Below are 22,805 nucleotides of genomic sequence, written 5' to 3'. Positions count from 1 at the left end.
GAGGCCGAGGCAGGAGAATCGCTTGAACCTGGGAGGTGGAGGTTGCAGTGAGCCAAGATCACAACACTGCACTCCAGCCCAGGTGACAGAGTGAGACTCTGTCTCAAAAAAAAAAAAAAGAAAAAAAAAAACACGTTTTTTTTCAGAGACAGAGACAAGATATTCTATGATTCCACTTATATGAAATATGTAGAATAGGCAAATTCATAGAGACAGGAAATATATTAGAAATTACCAAGGGCTGGATGGAGGAGAGAATGGGAACTTATTGCTTGTTGGTTACAGAATTTCTGTTTGGGGTGATGAAAAAGTTTTGGAAACAGATTGTGGTGATGGTTGCACAACACTGTGAATGTAATTAATGCCATGAAATGAACACTTAAAAATGGTTAAAATGACAAATTTTAATATATATTATATATAAATACAAGATTAAATTATCATTAAAGAAAATATGGGCTGGGTGCGGTAGCTCACACCTCTAATCCCAGCACTTTGGGAGGCTGAGGCAGGCAGATCACGAGGTCAGATCGAGACCATCCTGGCCAACATGGTGAAATCCCGTCTTTACTAAAAATACAAAAATTAGCTGGACGCAGTGGTGTGTGCCTGTAATCCCAGCTATTTGGGAGGCTGAGGCAGGAGAATCGCTTGAACCAGGGAGTTGGAGGTTGCAGTGAACCGAGATCATGCCACTGCACTCCAGCCTAGCAACAGAGCAAGACTTCATCTCAAAAAAAAAATCTTTATCTGAGGCCCCATGACATACACATATATATATATATATATATATATATATATATATATATATATATATATATATATACACACACACATGTTACCATAATAGCTAATGGCTATCATCAGAATAATGCTTTCCTTTCTATAGGAAAGGGAATTGAATACAACTGGGGAGAGGGTTTCATTGGAAATATTCTATGGGTAATATCCTATTTACAACTGTATGATGGACAGATGCATATTTTAGTATATTTTTATACTTTTATTATATCTTAATATAATAAAGTATGACTCAAGGGATACATTTAAAAATAATAAAATAAATTTTAAAGTATATAATAAAGGCAGGATGCTATAGGAGCATAAAGAAAATGCGCAGATGATAAGATAAGGATTCTCGAAGCCTAGACATAACACACAACACTAGACTATAAGTTCCAAGAGGTTAAAAACTATGTACAATTTACCCACCATTCTATCCCAAATATCTGGCACACAGTAGGTACTCAATATTTCCTCAATTTTAAAAACTCATGGCTATTACTGTAAGAAAATTTAATGTCTAAGAAAATCTGGAGTCAGCTAAATAAATTTGGGAGGTATTATTTTGCTTTATAAACTATTTCAGGCCAGGCACAGTGGATCACGCTTATAATCCCAGCACTTTGGGAGGCCGAGGTGGGAGGATTGTTTGAATCCAGGAGTTCAAGACGAGCCTGGGCAGCATAGCGAGACCTCATCTCTAAAAAAAAATTTTTTTAGTTATCTGGGTGTGATGGCACATGCCTGTAGTCCCAGCTACTCTGGGAGGTTGCTGAGGTGGGAGGATCGCTTGAGCCTAGGAGGTTGAGGCTGCAGTTAGCCATGATTATGCCACTCCACTCAGCCTGGGTGACAAAGTAAGACCCTGTCTCAAAAAAAGAAAAAAAAATTCATGACATAATTCCTATGTAAAACAAGCTGTTTGGGTGAATTGAAGTTACATATGGCATATAAACATATGATTTACTTGCAACTTTGAATAATAAATCTATGTAGAATAAAATAGTGTAATAATTAAAAGTTTGGACTTTGGAGTCCCCAACCCTCAAGTTTATTTCCAGTGCTGTGGTTTGCTTATATGTAAAATGGATGGGGGTGATAATAGTACATATCCTACTGAGCTGTTATGAGGACTAAATGAAAAGAAGCCAAATAAATATAAGGGATAAAATATATGATATAGGTCTCAGTGTCCCTGAGCTTTTCATCCCAAGGAATAGGGAAAGGAGAATGAATTGAGTGAATAGAGGTTTGCATTATTGAATAAATATTTATTGAACATCTATTGAGTGCTGAGGATAGAAATGAGACCTAATCAGGGAGCTTACAATCTAATTAAATTTTAAGAGGCTATTAAAATTAAAACTTTGTAGTAGGCAGGGCATGGTAGCTCACGCCTGTAATCCCAGCACTTTGGGAGGCCGAGGCATGCAGATCACTTGAGGCCAGGAATTCGAGACCAGCCTGGCCAACATGGTGAAACCCCTTCTATACTAAAAACACAAAAAATTAGCCAGGCGTGGTAGCATGCGCCTGTAGTCCCAACTGCTTGGGAGGCTGAGACACAAGAATCGCTTGAACCCAGGAGACGGAGGCTGCAGTGAGCTTAGATTGCACCACTATACTCCAGCCTGGGTGACAGAGCAACTCTATCTAAAACAAACAAACAAAAAACAAAACAAAAAAACTTTGTAGTAAAGTATAGGGAAAAAATTAAATGAGGCAGCATTGTATAATGAAAAAAAATACAAGTTTGAATCCCTTTGATTATTGGCCGCATTGCCTTTCAATGTGATCTCAGAAAGTTATTTAATCTCTCTACATAAACAAGAGAATAATAATATATATACCTTTCTGAGAAATAAAAGATATAAAGTATATTAATGAGTCTAAAATAGTGCCCTACCCTAGTAGATCCTACGTAAATGTCAAATTTTTTTCCTCTCTGAAGGAAAAAAAAGCATATAAAATTATATCTATGCAGTGGCCTCAATTGCATAAAATTATATATAGATATAGTCCAGTACAGAAATGAACATAGAAAAGTGAACCAAAACTATTGATTTGGTGTGAGGTAAGATTTTTAAGTGTTTTAATCTGTCACTACTGCAATGTTATTCATGCAAGAAATAAAAAATTATTATCTTAAAAAGTCATAGTTACTTTGAGACACAGAATACAAATAAGAAAATAATTTTTCATATGTAACTAACCTGCACATTGTGCACATGTACCCTAAAACTTAAACTATAATAATAATAATAAAAAGAAAATAATAATAATAATAATAATTTTTAATTTTAGAGAAAAAAATCGTGGCTAGTTGTTATGGGGCCTCAGATAAACATATTTTCTTTAATGATAATTTAATCTTGTATTTATAGATAATATTATATAATAACCTAACAACATATTTAAAGATCCTGTGAAAGTAGTGGTATGCCTGTGTGGCCTTCCTCCAAATTTTGGATTGACCCTCTCCTTCTGGCTTCAATCAATAAGATTGCTCCATACTTTGAGACTTCATCAGGCCCTGCTCTCAAGTCTTTTGGATAAGAATAAGCAAGACCCAGCTCTCAAAATGGGACCAGATAGCTCTTAAGGCCTGTCGTTGTCAATGTCCATACTGCTTCCAAGCAACCAGAGTTTTAAAAAGAAACTTAGGAGGAGGAAATCTGTTGGCATGTCATTGTAGCAGAACAATTGTGAGCTGATGTGGATCACATATACAACTTTAGATATATTTCACTCATTTTGTTTAGAGCCCTAAAAAGGTACATTCTTTTTTTATGGAGAAAGAAACTTTAGACACTAAAAGAGGTCACTTGTGACATGCAAAATACAGTAGAATGGCATGTAATCAGATTTCTCAGTCCAGAGCTTTTCCTAATGCTTTCTATTATTGGCCTGCTGAGAATTCCCTCAGTCTTCACCACTAAATAAATGGGGATCAGAATGCATCAGGGTCGTGAGAACTAACAAAATGCTGTATTTGATGATTTGACTCCTGGGAGGCAAAATAGGCTAGAAAGTATCATTAGTAACATTTGGTTGAGAAAAGATGTAACAAACCACATAGTCCTAGTCAGAACGTGGGAATGAAGTTTTGCCTCTTTTTCCCTACTGTTTGGTATTATATTCCCATAAGAAGGTTGTTTTAATAGTAGTTATGGCCACAGGGAAAACAGAGAATTGGATGGTGGGTATTTTGATAACCTTTATGTAAGGGAAAGGGCAGCAGCCTCTTCTAAAGAAGTTGCCGGTCATTCAGGAGTGAGGCAGCTGGGGAAAAAAACAGTCTTATCTCTCAGGACACACCAACTACCAAGATAATCTAAGAATCATTGTTGTTTACAGCTGAGTGCTTGTGAAATTGACAAATAGGTTATGTGTGCCCTGCTTGTGTGCATAAAAAGAGACAAGGCAGTGAAGTCATCAGTAAAGAGTGACCCTTCCCAAGAGACCTATTATGATGCAAGTCATCAGAGCCCAGTGATTCCCACACATATGATAAAGTGTATGACTTTTCTTAACACACTGAGATTTTATTAGGTCCTAACAGAATAGTAAGAAAAGTTGATTTCCTTTTGTTTTCCTCTTGGACCAGTCATCAACTTGGCAAAAATAACTGTGTCTACCAATTGTGGCAATAGGGCCAATGGAATAACTGCAAACACTAATTATGCCCTTTTTTGGGAGGCAGTTATTATACTGATGCAGAATAAGTGGAAGCCTGTCTGGAAAGAGCACTCAGAAAGAACAAATTTTTATTTTCCTTGCTGAGGACTAAAATAATAATAGTAACAGTAGTTGAAATTTTTATAGCATTTGTCAATTTTCAAATTGCTTTTTTAAAATACTTTTACAAAGGAACTGTGACTCTCTGTTTTGATGATTTGAGTTAGAGTACTTAGGGGATGCTGAGGTGCCCTCGCAAATTTCTTTCTGACAGTCCTGGTGAAAGGTGTACCCTCTGGACCCTCCTTGGGTGAGTGAGCAGGTTTACATCATAACTCTAACATTCCAATACCCCTAAACCTTTGGATACCTTCTTCTGCAGTATTCCAAGGTAACTACTTCATCTGATCTTCAAAATCTTTCTCTTCTGTGTAATCTGTGCCATGTCGCTTAACCTCTCAGAAGTTCAGTCCTACTATCTGTTAAAAAAAAAAAAGGATAATACCATTTACTTAACAGAATTGTTTTGATGATGAAAAGGAAGCATATGTATAAAGTACTTAGCACCACGCCTAGAATGAGGGATCAGTGAATGCTATCTCAGCCCTTTGTTATATCAGGCTTTCAATACCGGGTCATTCAGCTCCTAAGGACCAGATCCAGGTCCAGAACCTAGGTCTTCTCACTGCACCATTTTGCAAAGGAAAGCAAGAGTATTCCACCTTACACCTGTCATGTACATATGGTCCATCTCATTCTCATGCTTTGTTGGATTGAACTATTCAAAACAGTAATGAGGATTGACACAACTTAAAGGAAAAGAGACTCATTTCAGTTCATCTCTCTTTATGTTCCCAATTTTCCTAGAACTTGTCTTTATTAAGTTTCCTTTATTCTGGTTTTGTTTCTGAGACATTGTATGAAATGAAAACTAGTCCCACGTTAAACTCAACTAGAGAGAGATTATCTTTAAAGCATTCATATAAACAAAGGGACTATGAAATAGCCAACATCATAATTGGAACTAGAGCAAATCACAGTAAAACAAAAATTATTGATTAGGTTTTATTCTTAACACCAGTTAAGTAACTATGTGCAAGTGTAAAACCTTCACTTGTTGATTTCTAAGATTAAAATCCATAAAACTGTCCATAATCTATACCTCTCACATTTACCTCTCCATAGTAGATCAAACAAGAGTAATTAGATTTCTGCCTGACTAGCAGGGGAGAAAAAAACTGTTTCATTTTTGGATCAAAATCTTCCTAGTGGATTGAATCACATTCTTTTCCTTTACCTATCAACAGTTAGCAATTGCTTTTGTGTTTTATTTGGTTCAAACTATCAAAATGTGATTCTATAATTTTCAGTAGAAAGAATGTCAGAGTCTAAAATTTGATTCTCATTCTAGATTTAAAGATTATTCTCCCCATTTCACTTTCTCCAAAGTTCTAGGCTTGATATCATTTTAAATGTGATAGTACCTATCTTCCTCATCCCCACAAAAGAAAAATCAACTTGTAATCCGAAGCCTTAGTTCACTGAAAGGCAAACTATAATTATTGATTTAGAATATGACTTTAGTACCAGAAAAGCAATTATCTGACCTTACCTTATCCCTATGCTCTTGCCTTATCCCAATTCAAATGAGACTGACACTGTTGAATATCTAATAACAATATCTAATAACAGTAATTTCACAAGATGCTATTTCTGAAACAAGATTACATTCTGTACAGCCTCACTTATTCTTATGTAAAACTCAGAATCTTAAACCAGCTCCTATAAAGGCATTTAATATTTCATCCACATGGGCTAAACTATCATCCATATCAGCCCTACCTCCTGGTTACTTCAGCAAAAGATATGTAATAGGAAGCATAGCTATGGCCATAATTACTTTAAAATCAGTTTGTTCACATTTGGATCTGCAGTTCTTACAAATGAAAATACATAATTATAACATTAAAAAGCAAATCACGGCTGGGCGCGGTGGCTCACACCTGTAATCCCAGCACTTTGGGAGGCTGAGGTGGTGGATTACTTGAGGTCAAGAGTTCAAGACCAGCCTGGCCAACATGGTAACAAACATTTGCCAGGCGTGGTGGTGTATGCCTGTAATCCCAGCTACTCGGGAGGCTGAGGCAGGATAATCACTTGAACCTAGGAGGCAGAGGTTGCAGTGAGCCGAGATCACACCACTGCACTCCAGCCTGGGGGACAGAGTGAGACTCTGTCTTAAAAAAAAAAAAAAATGCAACTCATGGTTCTGGTAATAACTTTACCAACTAGAGATAAGTCAACTGGGGTAAAAAGACAAAAGTTTCAGTTCTCATTCTGTCTTGAAAGTGACACTGGTACAGTCATACATCACTTAACGACAGGGATACATTCTGAGAAATGTGTCCTTAGGTGATTTTGTCATTGTTCAAACATCATAGAGTGTACTTACACAAACTTAGATGGTATACATAAACCAGTGGCATAGTCATTTATTATCATTATCAGATATTATGTACTATACATAATTGCATGTGCCGTACTTTTATACTACTGTCAGTGCAGTAGGTTGGTTTACACCAGCATCACCGCAAACACATGAGTAATACATTGTGCTAGATGTTACAATAGTGATGATGTCACAAGATAGGAATTTTTCAGCTCCATTATAATCTTATGGGACCACCATTGTATATGTGGCCCATTGTTAACTGAAACGTCATTATGCAGTGCAGCGCACGACTATATATTGATATGGTGCACTTTGGACCTGAGCACTTGAGCAGTGGCAGGAATTGATGGAAAAAAGGAAAAGAGCTTCTGGAATTTTTTGTTGTTGTTGTTGTTTTTGTTTTTATTTTTGTAGAGACAGGGTCTCACTACGTTGCCCGGGCTGGTCTCAAACTCCTGGGCTCAAAGTGCTCGGATTACAGAAATGAGCCAACCATGCCCAGCCTGGAAGTTTCAGAAAGAGAAAAATCGGATGTTCCTGCAGAAAGGTAACACTATTTTTTAGAGGAGCTGCCGGTTTACTAGTATATTAGTTAGTGGTTTCTTAAAAAAGAAACGAGCTGGCACTTTAGAACATTTCAGCCTGGCATACTATATAAAGCTATTTGTTTAGTCGTAGCAAAGGAAAGATGATCTCAGCCACATAGCTTGTTTATATATGTTGGACCTATCTTAGAGCACATTTCATCCCCCTGTAGCGTTAATTGTTAATGGTAGTTTTACTTATTTTAATAAACATGATGCGAATAATAGAACTGCACCTGCATTTTAGAGTTTAGACAATGTTGTCACATACATCTCATTTGATCCTTACAACTCTGTGAATTGGGTAGTACAGATACTGTTTTTACAAATGAGGAAGCTGAGATTCAGAGAGGCCAAGTAACTTGCCTAAGATTTCCCAGCCAGAGAGACCTAGAACTGACTACTATATTACATCATGTCACTTCATGGTAATAAAACTCTTCAGTGGGGTACTGCAGGGTAAGACATTCTATATTATATGGGCATGTAATTATAGTAACACAGGAAGAAATGTTCGAACACGTACAAAATTCGTTTAGTCACTATTTAGGTGACCAAAAGATGGCATTAACTGTTATCTTGCGTCTGCATTGTATATTAAGGAGTATACTGTGAATAATCTTTGAGATTTTATCTTTGTGTGTGAGAAACAGGCTCTCACTGTATTGCCCAGGCTGGAGTGCAGTGGTGCACTCACGGCTCACTGTAGCACTGATCTCCCAGGCTCAAGTGATCCTACCACCTCAGCCTCCTGAGTAGCCAGGACCACAGGCATATGCCACCATGCCAAGCTAATTTTTTTATTTTTTGTAGAGGCAGAGTCTCACTATGTTGTCCAGGCTGGGCCTGAACTCCTGGGCTCCAGTGATCCACCTGCCTTGGCCTCCCAAAGTGCTGGGATTACAGGCATGAGCCACCACGCCTAGCCTGAGATTTTCTTTAGTGATGGCTGCAATTAAATTTTTAGTGAAAATAGTTTTTTTCTGATTCTAATAATGATACATTCTGGTAGGACAGAAAAATATGAATATAATATATAAAATATAAAGAATGAAGTATAATGTACTAGAACTCCCAGCACCTAGGGTAAACCACTGCTCCTTTCAGAATCTCTCAAAGCACATACACATGCACACACAAGACTTTATCCTTTTTAAACTATCGTCATTTTTCACTAGACAACACTTTAAATATTTTCCCATATCAATAGATGAGATCTACTTACCCATTTTTAATTGTTGATAGTATACAATGTATAGATGTACCTTTTTTCCCCCATCTAAGCTTCTATTGGTGGACATTTGAGACATTTCCATTTTTATTTTGCTATTATAAATTATTGGGAAAATTTAGGACACTATTCCTGAAAGTATTACTGAATCAGAGATTACTCCAATTTAAGATTACGATAAATATTGCCATACATCTCTCCAGAAATGTTGTAATTTGTATTCATGTTGACAGTGACTGAGGACAAATTTTCTCACACTTTCCGTGATAAACAGGTTATGTCAAGTAATTTTCATCTTTTCCAAAATGAATAATTGAAATGGGAACATGTGAGAAGACCCCGATGAAACTGGGAGCATTGAACCCCTGAATTCTGCTGAGTGTTCTTTGCAGTAAAAGACCCCTTCTCTACAGCCTTATGGAGAGTTCCTTACAGTTTACTGAGGAAGAGAAAACTCAGGCCTGATTTATAGATGATCCTGCCCAATATGTAATACAACCCACAAGTGGACAACTACACAAGACAGTCCCTTCTGGGACACCCTGAAGGACAGCAGTGAAGGTAAATCCTCCCAGAAGGTACCTTGAGCAGTGTACCTAGTTATTCATTTTGCTTAGAAGGAGAAATGGCCAACAGTATCAGTCTATATGGTTTATGGGCTACAGCCAATAGTTGGCTGGATGATCAGTGACTTAGAAGGAACATGACTGGAAAAATTGGTGACAAGGAGGTCTGGAGAAGAGATATGTGGATAGATCTCTCTTAGTGGGCAAAGAATGTTAGATATTTGTTTCCTTTGTGAATGCTCATCAAAAGGTGACCTCAGAGTTTGGTAAATAATTGAACGTGGAAAGCTAAGGAAAAGGAAGAATCAAAAGCAATTACAAGACTATGATCATAGAAAACTAGGAGAATGGTGAGAGTAGGAAGGCTCTCAGGGTGGGGTACTGGCATGATATACAAGTAGACGTACCATATAGCTAGTTGTCTATAGATATAGATCTATAAGGCACAAAAAATGGCATTTGAAGCTATGAGAGTACATAACCTTTCCTCAAAAGTAGCTTCCCTTTGAGGACCAAGGTCTGAGCCTTGTAGAACCTCTGATGCAGGTCAGGTAGCATAAGAGGTAAAGAGAAACAATATTTGACAAACAATGAGGGTTTGGTTTTGCATAAGAACAGAATAGCAATAATGGTGAAAGCAGAGAGGAGTTCAAGATTTCAAAAGACTATTCATCACACAAAAACCTGTACATGAAAGTTCGTAGTAGCTTTACTGATAATAGCCAAAAACTGGAAACAACCCAAATGTTTTTCAAATGGTGATTGGTTAAACAAACTACAAAATACTACTCAACAATCAAAATGAATGAACTAGTATTATATGCAAGAACTTGGATGGCTCTCAAGAGAATTATGCTGAGAGACTAAAGCCAGCCTCAAAAGGTTACTTATTTATATTATTCGATTTATTCAACATTCTCAAAATGATAAAATTATGGAGATGGAGAACATATTAGTGGTTTCCTGGGGTTGTAGAGAGGAAAGGGAGTGGGTATAACTGTAAAAAGGGGTAGCATAAGGGATCTTTGTGGCAATAGAACAGTTCTGTTTCTTGACTGTGGTAGTGTTAACACAAACCTACACATATGATAAAATTGCATAGAACTACCACATACACTCACATGCACAAATGAATGCATGTAAAACTGGTAAAATCTCAATTTCTTTATATAAGATGATATAAGATTTTATTATGTAAGATGTTACTATTGGGAGAAACTGGGGGAGGGGTGTACAGGATCTGTCTCTACTAATTTTCATGACTTCCTATGAATCTATAATTATTTCAAAATAAAAAGGAAAAAAAAACTGTGCCAAGGGGAAAAAAAAGACTATTAGGTTTAGCCAGGAGCAGTTAATTTTAGAATATTTTCTGTAGAGTGGTGAGGATAAGAGCCAAAAAAACAAGAGATTAAAGAAAGAAATAGATGGAAAATAGTCTCTTCTTCCAACTAAACCCAAATAATCCGCAGTACTTTCTTAACATTATAATCCATACCAACCAAAATGGAAAAGGCTTCTGAAATAAAAGAAAAAAGGAAGGATTCCTTTTTAGGCTGTAGCAAACAAAAACAAACACAGTTTGAGGAGATTTGGGAGGTTTTATACCTTAATGTTTAAACCTGGCTGCCAGAGGAATGTAAATAGAAGACTGTCTTTTTCTATCTTGTTATCCTCCAGGAGAATTAACTTTTCCAACCAGAAATCAACATCCTGAAGGGCCAGGATCAGAGGCCATCAAAGGTTTATTACCAGCCAGATTATTATCAAGGAGCAGAGACAATAATTATTACATTGTTGACAAACAGATACATTTTTGCTTTCTGGTCCCTTCATGTTGTACTCAGGATTAGTATTTTTAGGAAGATTAGAGAATACTTTGCAGAATACCTTAAGTGATAAAAAGTCACTAGGGAGTATATTTGCAGCTCAGCATGTGGGACCAAAGAAGTTCAGCTCATTGCCTGATCTAAAAATAATCATCCTTGATGTAGAATCCTGTTAGGTTCAGAAATGTAACATATAAGCTAAAATATTTCTACCTATCTCAGAAGTCCCAATTATACAAATTTATATCTGCAGATCTCATAGTCTAAAATCTGATGCATCTCTCTCCAGCTCTCTCCATGTACTTTGAATAAAGAATATATATATTCTCTGAATCTCTAGATCTCCTTCTCAAAATCTAATCACAACAAATTAGCTGTTTCTTTTAGCTTCCCATCAAGAATGGCTTGGCACAGTGGCTCATGCCCATAAGCCCAGCACTTTGAGAGGCTGAGACAGGAGGATCAATTGAGGTCAGGAGTTCAAGACCAGCCTGGACAACAGAGCAAGACTCTATCTCTACAAATTTTTTTTTTAAATTAGCCAGGAGTAGTGGTCCTACTTGGGAGGCTGAGGCAGGAGGATCACTTGGGCCTAGGAGTTAAAGGTTACAGTGAGCTATGATCTCCCCACTGCACTCCAGCCCAGGTGACAGGGTGAAACTCTGTCTCTAAAAAAAAAAAATTTTAATAAAAAAAGCTGGGCACGGTGGCTCACGCCTGTAATCCAAGCACTTTGGGAGGCTGAGGCGGGTGGATCACCTGAGGTCAGAAGTTCAAGACCAGCCTGGTCAACATGGTGAAACCCCATCTCTACTAAATATGCAAAAATTAGCCAGGCATGGTGGCGGGCACCTGTAATCTCAGCTACTCGGAAGGCTGAGGTAGGAGAATCTCTTGAACCCAGGAGAGAGAGGTTGCAGTGAGCCAAGATCGCACCATTGCACTCCAGCCTGGGCAACAAGAGCGAAACTTCATCTCAAAAAAAAAAGAGTCTGGGTGCAGTGGCTCACGCCTGTAATCCCAGCACTTTGGGAGGGTGAGGTGGGCGGGTCACCTGAGATCAGGAGTTTGAGACCAGCCTGGCCAACATGGTGAAACCCTGTCTCTAGTAAAAATACAAAAATTAGCCAGGCATGGTGGTACGCACCTGTAATCCCAGCTACTCGGGAGGCTGAGGCAGAAGAATTGCTTGAACCTGGGAGATGGCGGTTTCAGTGAGCCAAGATCTTGCCACTGCACTTCAGCCTGGGTGATGGAGCAAGACTGCATCTCAAAAAAAAAAGAAAAAAAAAAAAAGAATGGTTTGCTTCTAATTTCATAAAAGTTTTTCTTTGCCTTTTGATAACAACTATAATATTTCATGAATAAATGTATTTTTATTACTAACTTGGGGAAAAATCTTGGAAAATCTTGTTCATATAAATTGGGGTTAATGTTTCAGGAAAAAAAATAGAATCTTAAATTTTTCAAACTGGAAAAGACCTTAAAAGATTCTCTATCAAAACCCCATTCCACCCCCACCCCACCAACTACCTTTTTTTTTTAACTATTTGAGGCCAAATAAATTAGCTTCTCAAATTCATGAAAGGCATAAAGTTAGAGATTTTAATGCTGTTCTTAGAAACTACAGCCTAATCTTTGCCCTTTTGCCAAAAGAAGAAGGAGGAGGAGGAGGGGGAAGGAGAAGGAGGGAAGAGGAGGTAAGAGGAAGAAGAGGAAGGAAGAGGAAGAAGAGGAAAAGGAGGAAGAGGAGGAAGAAGAAGAAGAGGAGGAAGAGGAAGAAGGAGAAGGAGAAGAAGAAAGAAGAATGAGGAGGAGGAGGAAGAAGAAAGAAGAAGGAGGAGGAGGAGGAAGAAGAAGAAGAAAGAAGAAGAAGAAGAAGAAGAAGAAACTACTACACTACTGCTACTACTGCCGCTACCACCACATTTTTTCTGTCTGAATTTGAAAAGACATTTAAAAGTCAATTATATTTTTTGGTTCAACTACTTGATACCAAAAGAATTTGGTCATATGTCTTAACAGCACACATATATATATCTTAAAGAGTGTGTGTGTGTGAATCTATATCTACATATAGCACTTTGTGGCCACATTGAAACACTTATCAAACTACATTACAGCTATTTGTGAATTGTCTATTCACCTGACACAATAGTAGCACCTGGAAATTAGAAACCATATGTTTTTTCCTTACCTTGTGCATTTTTCCACTTTTGAAACTATGAACTATTTCAAAATATTCTCAAAAATAGAGAATAAAAAATAAAAACATAGAGAATAATGTAACAAAGACTTATCATCCAGCATTACCAAATCTTAACATTTTGTTACATTTATTGCATTTTTTAAAAATGAAACACTAGAAATACTGTTGAAACCTTCCAAATTCATTTTCTTCCTTCCCTTCTCAGAGATAATCACTACTATCCAGGATTTGGTGTTATGTCATTCCCATGCATGTTTTTACAGTCTTATCACATATGTATGTATCCATATATTAATATATATGCATTTTATTGTTTTGCATATGCTTTAAAACTATTTTAGTAGTGGCATACCCTGAATATTCTTAAATTTGCTAAATTTTCTTAACTTACTCTGAGCTTTAAGGCTTATCCATGTTGGTAATAATCATTCATGTATTCATTCAAACTGCTATATAGCATTCTATAGTATGAACACATCCCTGGTGAATATGTAGGTAGTTTTCATTTTTCACTATTATAAACAATGCTGTAATGAATATTCTTCTAGATATCTCTGTGCACATGTGCAAGGGTTTCTTTGGGATATTGTTGAAGAAGTAGAATTGCTATACATACTGATAAATTGAAAATGAATTACTTGATATTGACAAATTGCATTCTAAAATGGTTGTCTGATTTTTACTCCCACTCATATTTAAGTCCCCATGTGATCTAGTCCATTTTTTAAATTTTGGCTAATCCGATGGGCGAGGATGACATCTTATTCTTTTGACTTAAATTGTCCTGATTATTAGTTATATTGAACATCTATTCATATGTTCATGGACCCTATTGGATTTCCTCTTCTGTCAACTGCCTGTTTTTATTCTTCACCAATTTCTCTCTAAGGTTGATCAGTAGTCTTTCTCTATATACTGTGCATATACTAATTATTTGTTGGTTGTATACATTGCAAATATTTTCTCCCAGTGAGACCTTGTCCTTTTCATTTCCACCAACCAGTAAACTACCTAGAACCTAAAATATAGAAAAGAGTGCAGAAGAAAAAAATTTTTTGAGACGGGTTTTTTGTTTTTTGTTTGTTTTTGTCGCCCAGACTGGAGCCCTGTGGCATGATCACAGCTCACTGCAGCCTCAATCCCCCAGGCTCAAGTGATCCTCCCACCTCAGCCTCTTGGGTAGCTGGGACTACAGGTGCACACCACAACAACACCTGGCTAATTTTTTGAAATTTTTGTAGAGAGGGGTTTCACCATGTTGCCCAGGCTGCTCTTGAATTCCTGAGCTCAAGCAGTCTACCTGCCTCGGCTTCCCAAAGTGTTGGGATTGCAGGTGTGAGCCACCATGCACGGCCAAAAATTTTTAAAGATACAAAGGGAGAGGGAGAAAAAGGGAAAGAGCAATTTCACACATCATTCTCACCAAGGTATAGCCATTTGACGAAGTTTTTATGGTAGACTTGACAGGACTAATCATCAAATTATTTTCATTGAAAACATCTGTTTTGAATTTATTTATTGATTTATTGATGTATTAAATTTTTTACCATCATAACATCAGGGCATTCTGTGTTGCTAGTGGTGGTACTGACGATGATGCTGGCTTTTTATTTTATACATTGTTATTTTGGTCCATCTGAGCAACTATTTTTTAACCAAAAGAAGTTATTTTTTTTTCTTTTGCCCACTTTTTTGGCAAGTCACTATAGTTGAAAAAGCCTCATATCTAAGTTAATAAATGTTATAAGTTAATAAATGTTACCTTATGATCTCTTAAGACTGTTCTATTGCCGTTTTTTCTTTATCCTCATCCCCAACTTCTGTTCAATAGAAGGCACAATTAATTATATAAAAGATACATAGAGTCTGCATTTGCTTTCCTTAGGCATAGGAATTACACTGGCTATTTCCATACAGGCAGTATTCTCCTAGACCTTCTCTATAGATGCCAATTAGAAGATTAGCGTCTTTTCTCTCTCCCTCTTTGCTATTAAATAGTCACACAAAAGCTGAGCTGACAAATTACTCCGTCCATGGTGCTCGACAAAGACAGACAATAGATCATCATCATTTACTATACTTGAATCCTATTAATCACAGATTAATGAGAACATGTCTAGTGGGGAAGAAATTACCAGAATGTGGGCCTATTGGCTTGTTACTCATGTAACATCTGCTCAGGCTTTACCTTTAGTGTCATGTCATCTTTTATCACATTGAAATAATGTTTGCTCCAGAAACATAATTAAGATAATGGAGCAAATTCAGAGCCCTTCCCTTAATAATTAAAGAACCACGGTTGTATTTCTTAGTTCAGTGGCTTTTAAAAAAAACTAATTTCCCTCTGTTCTTGATTATTTCCTTTTTCTTTTGCTCATAATGAACTATCAAATCTTGGGGCTTTTTTTTCTCTTTGTAAACTATGATTAATCCTCATACCCAAAACTAGGACAAAGTCAGAGTTTGAGTTCCTTTTTCTATTGAGATAAAATTCATATGATATGAAATTCACCATTGTAACCACATTAAAATGCACAATTAAGTGGGATTCCTTTTACAATTTGAAACATCCTAAACTCAGATTAATACTTAGAATATCATATACACTTTGTAAGGATCATCAAGTACTATATTTATTTTCCTTAACCTTCATCTACAATGTACTGTTTTATTTTTATATAATCAAATACTTTTATTTTTAAAATCTGGGGTTTTACCAATGTTTTAGTTTTTTATACTTAAGCTAATTACCTGCTTTACTTTAAAGCACAGAAGTAGAAATTTGGGTTCAAATATTTAATATTCTTGGAGGTCTCCTATCCTTTTGTTGCAACAAGGGGTAGAACTAGGGGAACAAATATAAAGATAAGTTTAAAAATAAAAAGCAATTTTTATTCATCTATAATCATCTATAATGGCATCTATAATCAGCTGCTTAAAAGTAAAAAGTCATAATTCATGATTATAAAACTGAAAAAAGTAATCGCTTGGGTTAAAAAATCTAGAATATATATTTGTTACTCTTGGAAGGCTGTGGTGATGAGTGCTCAGGGCTGGATAAGCTGTGATCTAAGGCTTTGTGATTAAGCCATGATTCAGCACCACGGGAATAAAAACAGCTCCACAACCAAGAGCTGGCAAGCACTAGTTCAGGAAGCAGGGAGGAGGATTGCAAAGAGCTTCTTAATTAAATTTTAATTATTGCTAATTAGAACTACCGTTTTTTTATATCCCCAACAAGGAAGACAAGAGTTGATCTTGCCTTTTTATTATTCTGCTAATTAGTTTCCCAAGGAGAGGTTTGAAAGGGCAGTCTCTGCTTTGACAGTATACAAGTTGTTAGCTGAGCTCAGACCTGCAGATCAATCTCATGCTAAAGTTTGAGCGTTAGTATTCCTAGGTAGATATTTTCTGGTTCTAAAATTTTATTACAAATATCTGAGGGAATGAATTGTCCCTATCCACTATTTAAAGAAATCCATAAGTTAGTTTTCCTGTTGTTTATCCTGTCTACCTTCTCTTCATACAAGTATCAAAGATTTTGCTTAATTATTAAAGTTGTGAATCCTCTACACACATTAATGTGGTAAACTTTGTGCCTTTTTGAATTGTTTGTTAAATGTTAGAGATGATCTCTATCTGATTGTAAAGAACGATTTGATGTACACATAAAAGTAACTGCTAGTTTTCTCTAGCAGTGAATTTAGTGCTTTGCAATAGGTAACAACAACAACAAAAATTGAAGTTCCTGCTCTGAAGAGCTCCCAAGTTCTATTAAATACCATTTAAGATGAAATGCTAACTGTTCCAGGTAAACCACATTTGAGATTGCAAAGCAGAAACCCTAACTGTAAACTTGAATTCATAATCCCAGAAGGTTCCCAAGACCCATTAGCATTATAGCCCTCTGCAAAATACGAATTCTATTTTGTAAGTGCACACATTTCATAATTCTTCTCCCAAGATAATAAAGATAAGAGTTCTGAGCTAGTGCAACTCCCTGTGTTAATTACAATAAAATCCAACAAATGAAATTACATTTTTGGAATCAACAGCTTTTGGCCAAGCAAACCCACATGCCTTGACAGCCTTCCTTTGCAGTTGGAGTTACATTAACACATGTGTTTGTTTCCTCACCTTTTACAGACCCAAGAGCCCTGTGATATGTTAATTCACACCAAATTCTAATCCTTTCCCTTGTCTTTATCTTTCCAACTCAGTGATATGATGTGTCAACACCTTACATATTGGGAAGAAAAAATGCTTAGACAAAATTTTATTTCTACTCACTTTAATTAAAATTACAGAAACTAGAAAACAAAGTGTAAGTAAATTAAGGCATTGTCTTTCAATGCCATTCACCATCTGCCCTGTCAATATCCACTCTGATCTGAATTATTCTAAAAAGTCATCTGGGTCTTTCCTACTTTGATTAGTCAATTAGCCACATCTCACATTGGTTTAAAATGTGTTTTTTCAGGTCAGTAAGTTACCCTCACAACCTTAGAGTAGCTGACTTGCCAATAAATAAAGACTTCTGAGATTTTTCTATTAATATGCAAAGATTTCTGCTTTTTTCAGCTTATTCTATATTTAAACATGATGTAATACTTACAGAACTTTTCTCTTTAAAATAATAAACATTATAAAATCATTTTTCTTTTCTCCACAAATAGAACTTTTTATTTGCCACTATTAAAAGTCTGAACTTTAAACAGATTCTAGGACCAGTGAGTTCATATCCATCAGCTCATTCAACTTTGGCACCTGTCTTATGTCCAGTAGCTTTCTCAGAACCACTACTTTCACCATGAAGCTCTGTGAGTTTTCCCAATTCAAATTTGGACTTCTTTAGCATTTTTAATTTTTTTTTTTTTTTTTTTTTTTTGAGACGGAGTCTCACTCTGTTGCCAGGCTGGAGTGCAGTGGCATGATCTCGGCTCATTGCAACCTCTGCCTCCTGGGTTCAAGCGATTCTCCTGCCTCAGCCTCCCAAGTAGCTGGGACTACAGGTGCATGCCACCATGCCTGGGTAATTTTTGTATTTTTAGTAGAGATGGGGTTTCACCATGTTGGCCAGGATGGTCTCAATTTGACCTCGTGATCCACCTGCCTTGGCCTCCCAAAGTGCTGGGATTATAGGTGTGAGCCACTGTACCTGGCCAGCATTTTTACTTTTCTAATGAACACATCATGGAAAGGATAAATAGATTGGCAACCGTTTTGTATGTCTTTTGCAATGCTGTCTGGAATCAATTTATTGACCACTTCTTTCAAGTCATTTGTCTGCACCTCTTGGGTCATGATTTCCATCGTCTCCTAGATCTGGCGAGCCTGTTGGTGGTGAATATCTATTGGTTGCATTTTTTAGTATAACCAATACAGAATAACTGAAGCAAATAACCATCAGTAGTCTTGACATAAGCATGAGCTTCAATCATGGTCTGTCATTTTTTGACCATGGAACACATTTTGTCACAGGTGAAATCCATGCCACGGAAGTCAGTCAGGCAGGTTTTGCCTGAACATCATCAGTAATCAGCTTGCATTTTCTAAATGCACCTTCATCATTCTGCAGATCAGCAAGACTCACTTCAAATACATGACCCTTGAGGCCATCAGATGCAATTTTGGTTCCTTGAGTCCTGGTGACCAGCATCTTTCCAATGTTTCATATATTGAACATAGCCAGTGCTTTCACATCGTACCAATCTTTCTTAGAAAATGGATCAACCACTTTCTTCTTGGCTCCCTTTTTGCCGCTTTTCTAAGGTACTTGTGCTTGCCATCTGCCATGGTGCTGCTCAGAGAGCCAAAAGGGGTTTTGGGTTTTTTGATTGTTTGTTTGTTTTTTGAGACATGGTCTCACTCTGTCACTCAAGCTGGAGTACAGTGGTGCCATCATAGCTCACTGCAGTCTCGAACTCCTGGACTCAAGTGATCCCCCTGTGCCCCACTCCCCCCCACCCCCACTGCCTCAGCCTCCCAAGTAGCTGGGACTACAGGCGTAAGCCACTCTGCCTGGCTAATTTTTTTAAAAAAATTTTGTAGAGATAGGGTCTCACTGTGTTGACCAGGCTGGTCTCAAACTCCTGGCCTCAAGCGATCCTCCCACATCAGCTTCCCAAAATGTTGGGATTACAGGCATGGGCCACTGTGCCTGGTGCAAAATAATTTCTTTCTTTATTATATATTATTATGTTAGATATAAAGCATGTTATTACTAACTTCATTTTTATAGGCAAAGAAAGTCCACCAGAAAATTATCTAACTCCCGTTACACTCTTTTGTAACTTGCTTGTTATACTCCTGTTTCTTGTTTCACAAACATCTATATTAGTCAACAGCAGATAGTTTTTTAAGTGACAGTTGGGCTGTTCCAAGGCTTTATGGGTGAGCATGGGAAAAGCCTCTAGATTGGATACCTTTGAAGAGAATGGGAATGAGACAGAGAATGAAGGGAAAAATAACAAAATCAAACAGGAGAGCAACGTTACACAGAATCATAGTTGTGTGCCAAGAAGTGATGATTCTGATTAATTCAGTTCTGTACACCTGATCTTTCCTTCACCACCCACCTCCCCCTGCCAAAAATAAAAAACAAATACAAACCTGTGGCCCAGTAACATTCAAGGACACATTGGTATATGAGGTCCCACAAAGCTGGAACTAAGTTCATGACGTCTCAAAAGTGGAATTCTCTAATCTTTTACTTTAAGTGTTGGCAGCTTTAGTGAGTAATAAGGTAGTAGTTTAATCACAAACAGTACATACCTAAATTATAGACCATACTATATATGCTAAGGTTTGAATGTTTGTGGCCTGCCAAAATTCATATGTTGAACTCCTACCCCCAAGGTGATGGTATTAGGAGGTGGGGCCTTTGGGAGATAATTAGCTCATGAGGACAGAGTCCTCATGAATGGGATTAGTGCTCTTATAAGGGGTTACAGAAACAAGAGTTCTTCCCTTCTACTATGTGAGGGCATAGCTAGAAGGTACCACCTATAAACCAGAAAGCAGACCCCCACCAGTGAAACCGGCTTTGCAAAAATTATAGCAGTGAGAAAATGATGACAGTGAAAGAGATCTGACCTAACCAACTCCATCTTGCCTTTAACCTCTAAACTGCCCTTGGTCATTCATTCCTAGGCATGGGCCAAGCTAATGCTGGCAGAAATTTAGTTTATAGTTTAAGTGATAATAGCCCCTCCCCAAACTAAACCACCTTTGTAAAACTAGTGCTAAGCCACCAAGTACAGAGGATGAGAGGGGCCTAAATTCTGCTAAGATGTAGTGATAGTTCAATGATTACCAGCCATTTTTCTGGAGGTATAGCATTTTCAGGAAGATTTGCAACTTCCCCATTTGCTGCTGTAAATAACATCACAATTGTAAAACCTAAGACTGGCCTTTTCAATGTCTTCTCAGAGTTTTGCATTTCTGACTACCAGATGACTCCACCTGGACCAGCAACTTTGCTGTGGCCCCTACCTGGGGTGGACTCAGCACGTGAGGACTGTTTTCCATACCCCTATGAGTGATCTCAATCCAATCAGCAGCACCCATTCCCTCGTCCCCTGCCTCCCAAACTATCCTTGAAAAACCCTAGCCTCTGAATTTTCAGGGAGGCTGATTTGAGTAATAATAAAACTCTGGTCTCCTGTTTAGCTGGTTCTACATGTATTAAACTCTTTCTCTATTGCAATTCCCCTGCCTTGATTATATGAGCAGCAAGACACAATGAACTCACTTGGCAGTTACACCAGACACCAAATCTGCTGGTGCCTTGATCTTGGACTTCTCAGCCTCCAGAACTGTGGGAAATAAATGGGTTGTTTATAAGCCAGCTAGTTTATGGTATTTTTGTTATAACAGCCAGAACAGACTAAGACAATATGTAGTGAGTATGGTCAGGTAAATAAGAATATCACTTTATGTAAAAATGAATTTCCCCTATTCTCCTGGGCTAGTGGAAAAAAAAAAAGGTTAGTTTTTAAAGCCCTTCACCCATCTCTTCTGAGTTAGGTTAAGATTCTTATATCTTTTGCATTTTGACATGGGGCAAATTGGGGTGTGCCGGTTCTAGCAATCAATCACTTCTGTACATAGGTTATCCCTGAGTCTTCCATTGTCTTGTCTAAACAGCACCTTCAGCATCAGTAGTTCCTTCTACTTCATCAACATATTTTGGACTTGGGAATCTTTTTTTGCAACTGACTAAATCCCATATGCCTGGAGGCAACAGATCCTACTCCTCTCTAGGTGCTGCCAAGAAGCCAAAACTGGGACATTGATGCTCTAGAATTGTGTTAGCCTGTTCTCGCATTGCTATGAAGAACTACCTGAGACTGGGTAACTTATAAAGAAAAGAATTGGCTGGGAATGGTGGCTTATACCTGTAATCTTAGCACTTTGGGAGTCTGAGGCAGGCAGATCAACTGAGGCCAGGAATTTGAGATCAACTTGGCCAACATGGTGAAACCCCATCTCTACTAAAAATACAAAAAATAGCCTGGCATGGTGGCACATGTCTATAATCCCAGCTACTCTGGAGGCTGAGGCAGGAGAATCACTTGAACCCAGGAGGCAGAGGTTGCAGTGAGCTGAGACCATTCCACTGCACTCCAGCCTGGGTGACAGAGTGAGACTCCATCTCAAAAAAAAAAAAAGAAGAGGTTTAATTGACTCACAGTTCCACAGGCTGTACAGGAAGCATGGCTAGGAGGAGGCCTCAGGAAACTTACTATCACAACAGAAGACGAAGGGGAAGCAGGCATGTCTTACATGGCCAAAGAAGCAGGAAGGAGGTGGGGGAGGTGCCACACATTTTTAAACGACCAGATCTCATGAAAATTCACTCACTATCATGAGAACAGCAAGGGGAAATCTGCCCCCATGATCCAATCACCTCCCAGCAGGCCCCTCCTCCAACACTGGGAATTACAATTTGACATGAGATGTGGGCAGGGACACAAATCCAAACCATATCAAGAACTTACAGACTTGTCTCTTGTTTTCCTCCTATTGGGGGGGATATTTTTGACGTGGTGTTGGGGTGGGGGTATGTATCTGTGTGTGTGTGTGTGTGTATGTGTGTGTTGGAGAGAAGTAGTGGGGGAAAGCCTCACTTTCTACCAACCCCACCTCCTTGCCCTACTTCCCTAGGGCACTCTACCTATACCTGAAAATCTCCTTCTCCCTTTTTTCTTTTCTACAAACTCTCTAAATCTTCCCAGGGGCTTAAGTTTTTGGAAACAGAAACCAGAAAGTCTTGCATAATATCTCTGCCTTCTGTTCTATAGAGACCCTGAACCAGCTATTTACTTTAAATGGGGGAAGTATAAAAAGAAAACACATGCATAGAAACAAGCTGATTTCCTAAAATATTATCCATACCATACACTAGGAATATCCCAAATAGGGGAGAGACAGAGAGAGAGAGAGAAAAGAGAAAGAAGGAAAGAAGGAAG

At 37.7% G+C, this 22,805-nt stretch overlaps 2 long non-coding RNA genes and 1 pseudogene across 2 annotated transcripts; 1 reads left to right on the top strand and 2 right to left on the bottom strand.

The window, feature by feature from the left end:
* Nucleotides 1–3,995: 3,995 nt before the first annotated feature.
* LOC105370450 (uncharacterized) lies at nt 3,996–11,478 on the top strand. The gene is made up of 3 exons (XR_943749.3): nt 3,996–4,771; nt 9,003–9,289; nt 10,975–11,478. It is a non-coding gene; the product is annotated as an uncharacterized LOC105370450 (long non-coding RNA).
* On the bottom strand, nt 4,534–12,392 carry LOC107984681 (uncharacterized). Its single transcript, XR_001750713.2, has 2 exons — nt 12,271–12,392; nt 4,534–4,940 (listed from the first exon to the last, which is right to left on the bottom strand). It is a non-coding gene; the product is annotated as an uncharacterized LOC107984681 (long non-coding RNA).
* On the bottom strand, nt 18,000–19,153 carry RPS3AP4 (RPS3A pseudogene 4; annotated as a pseudogene).

The sequence above is a fragment of the Homo sapiens genome, chromosome 14 (genome assembly GCF_000001405.40).
Source record: "Homo sapiens chromosome 14, GRCh38.p14 Primary Assembly".
Taxonomy (NCBI): domain Eukaryota; kingdom Metazoa; phylum Chordata; class Mammalia; order Primates; family Hominidae; genus Homo; species Homo sapiens.
This window is presented reverse-complemented; position numbering and strand designations above follow the sequence as displayed.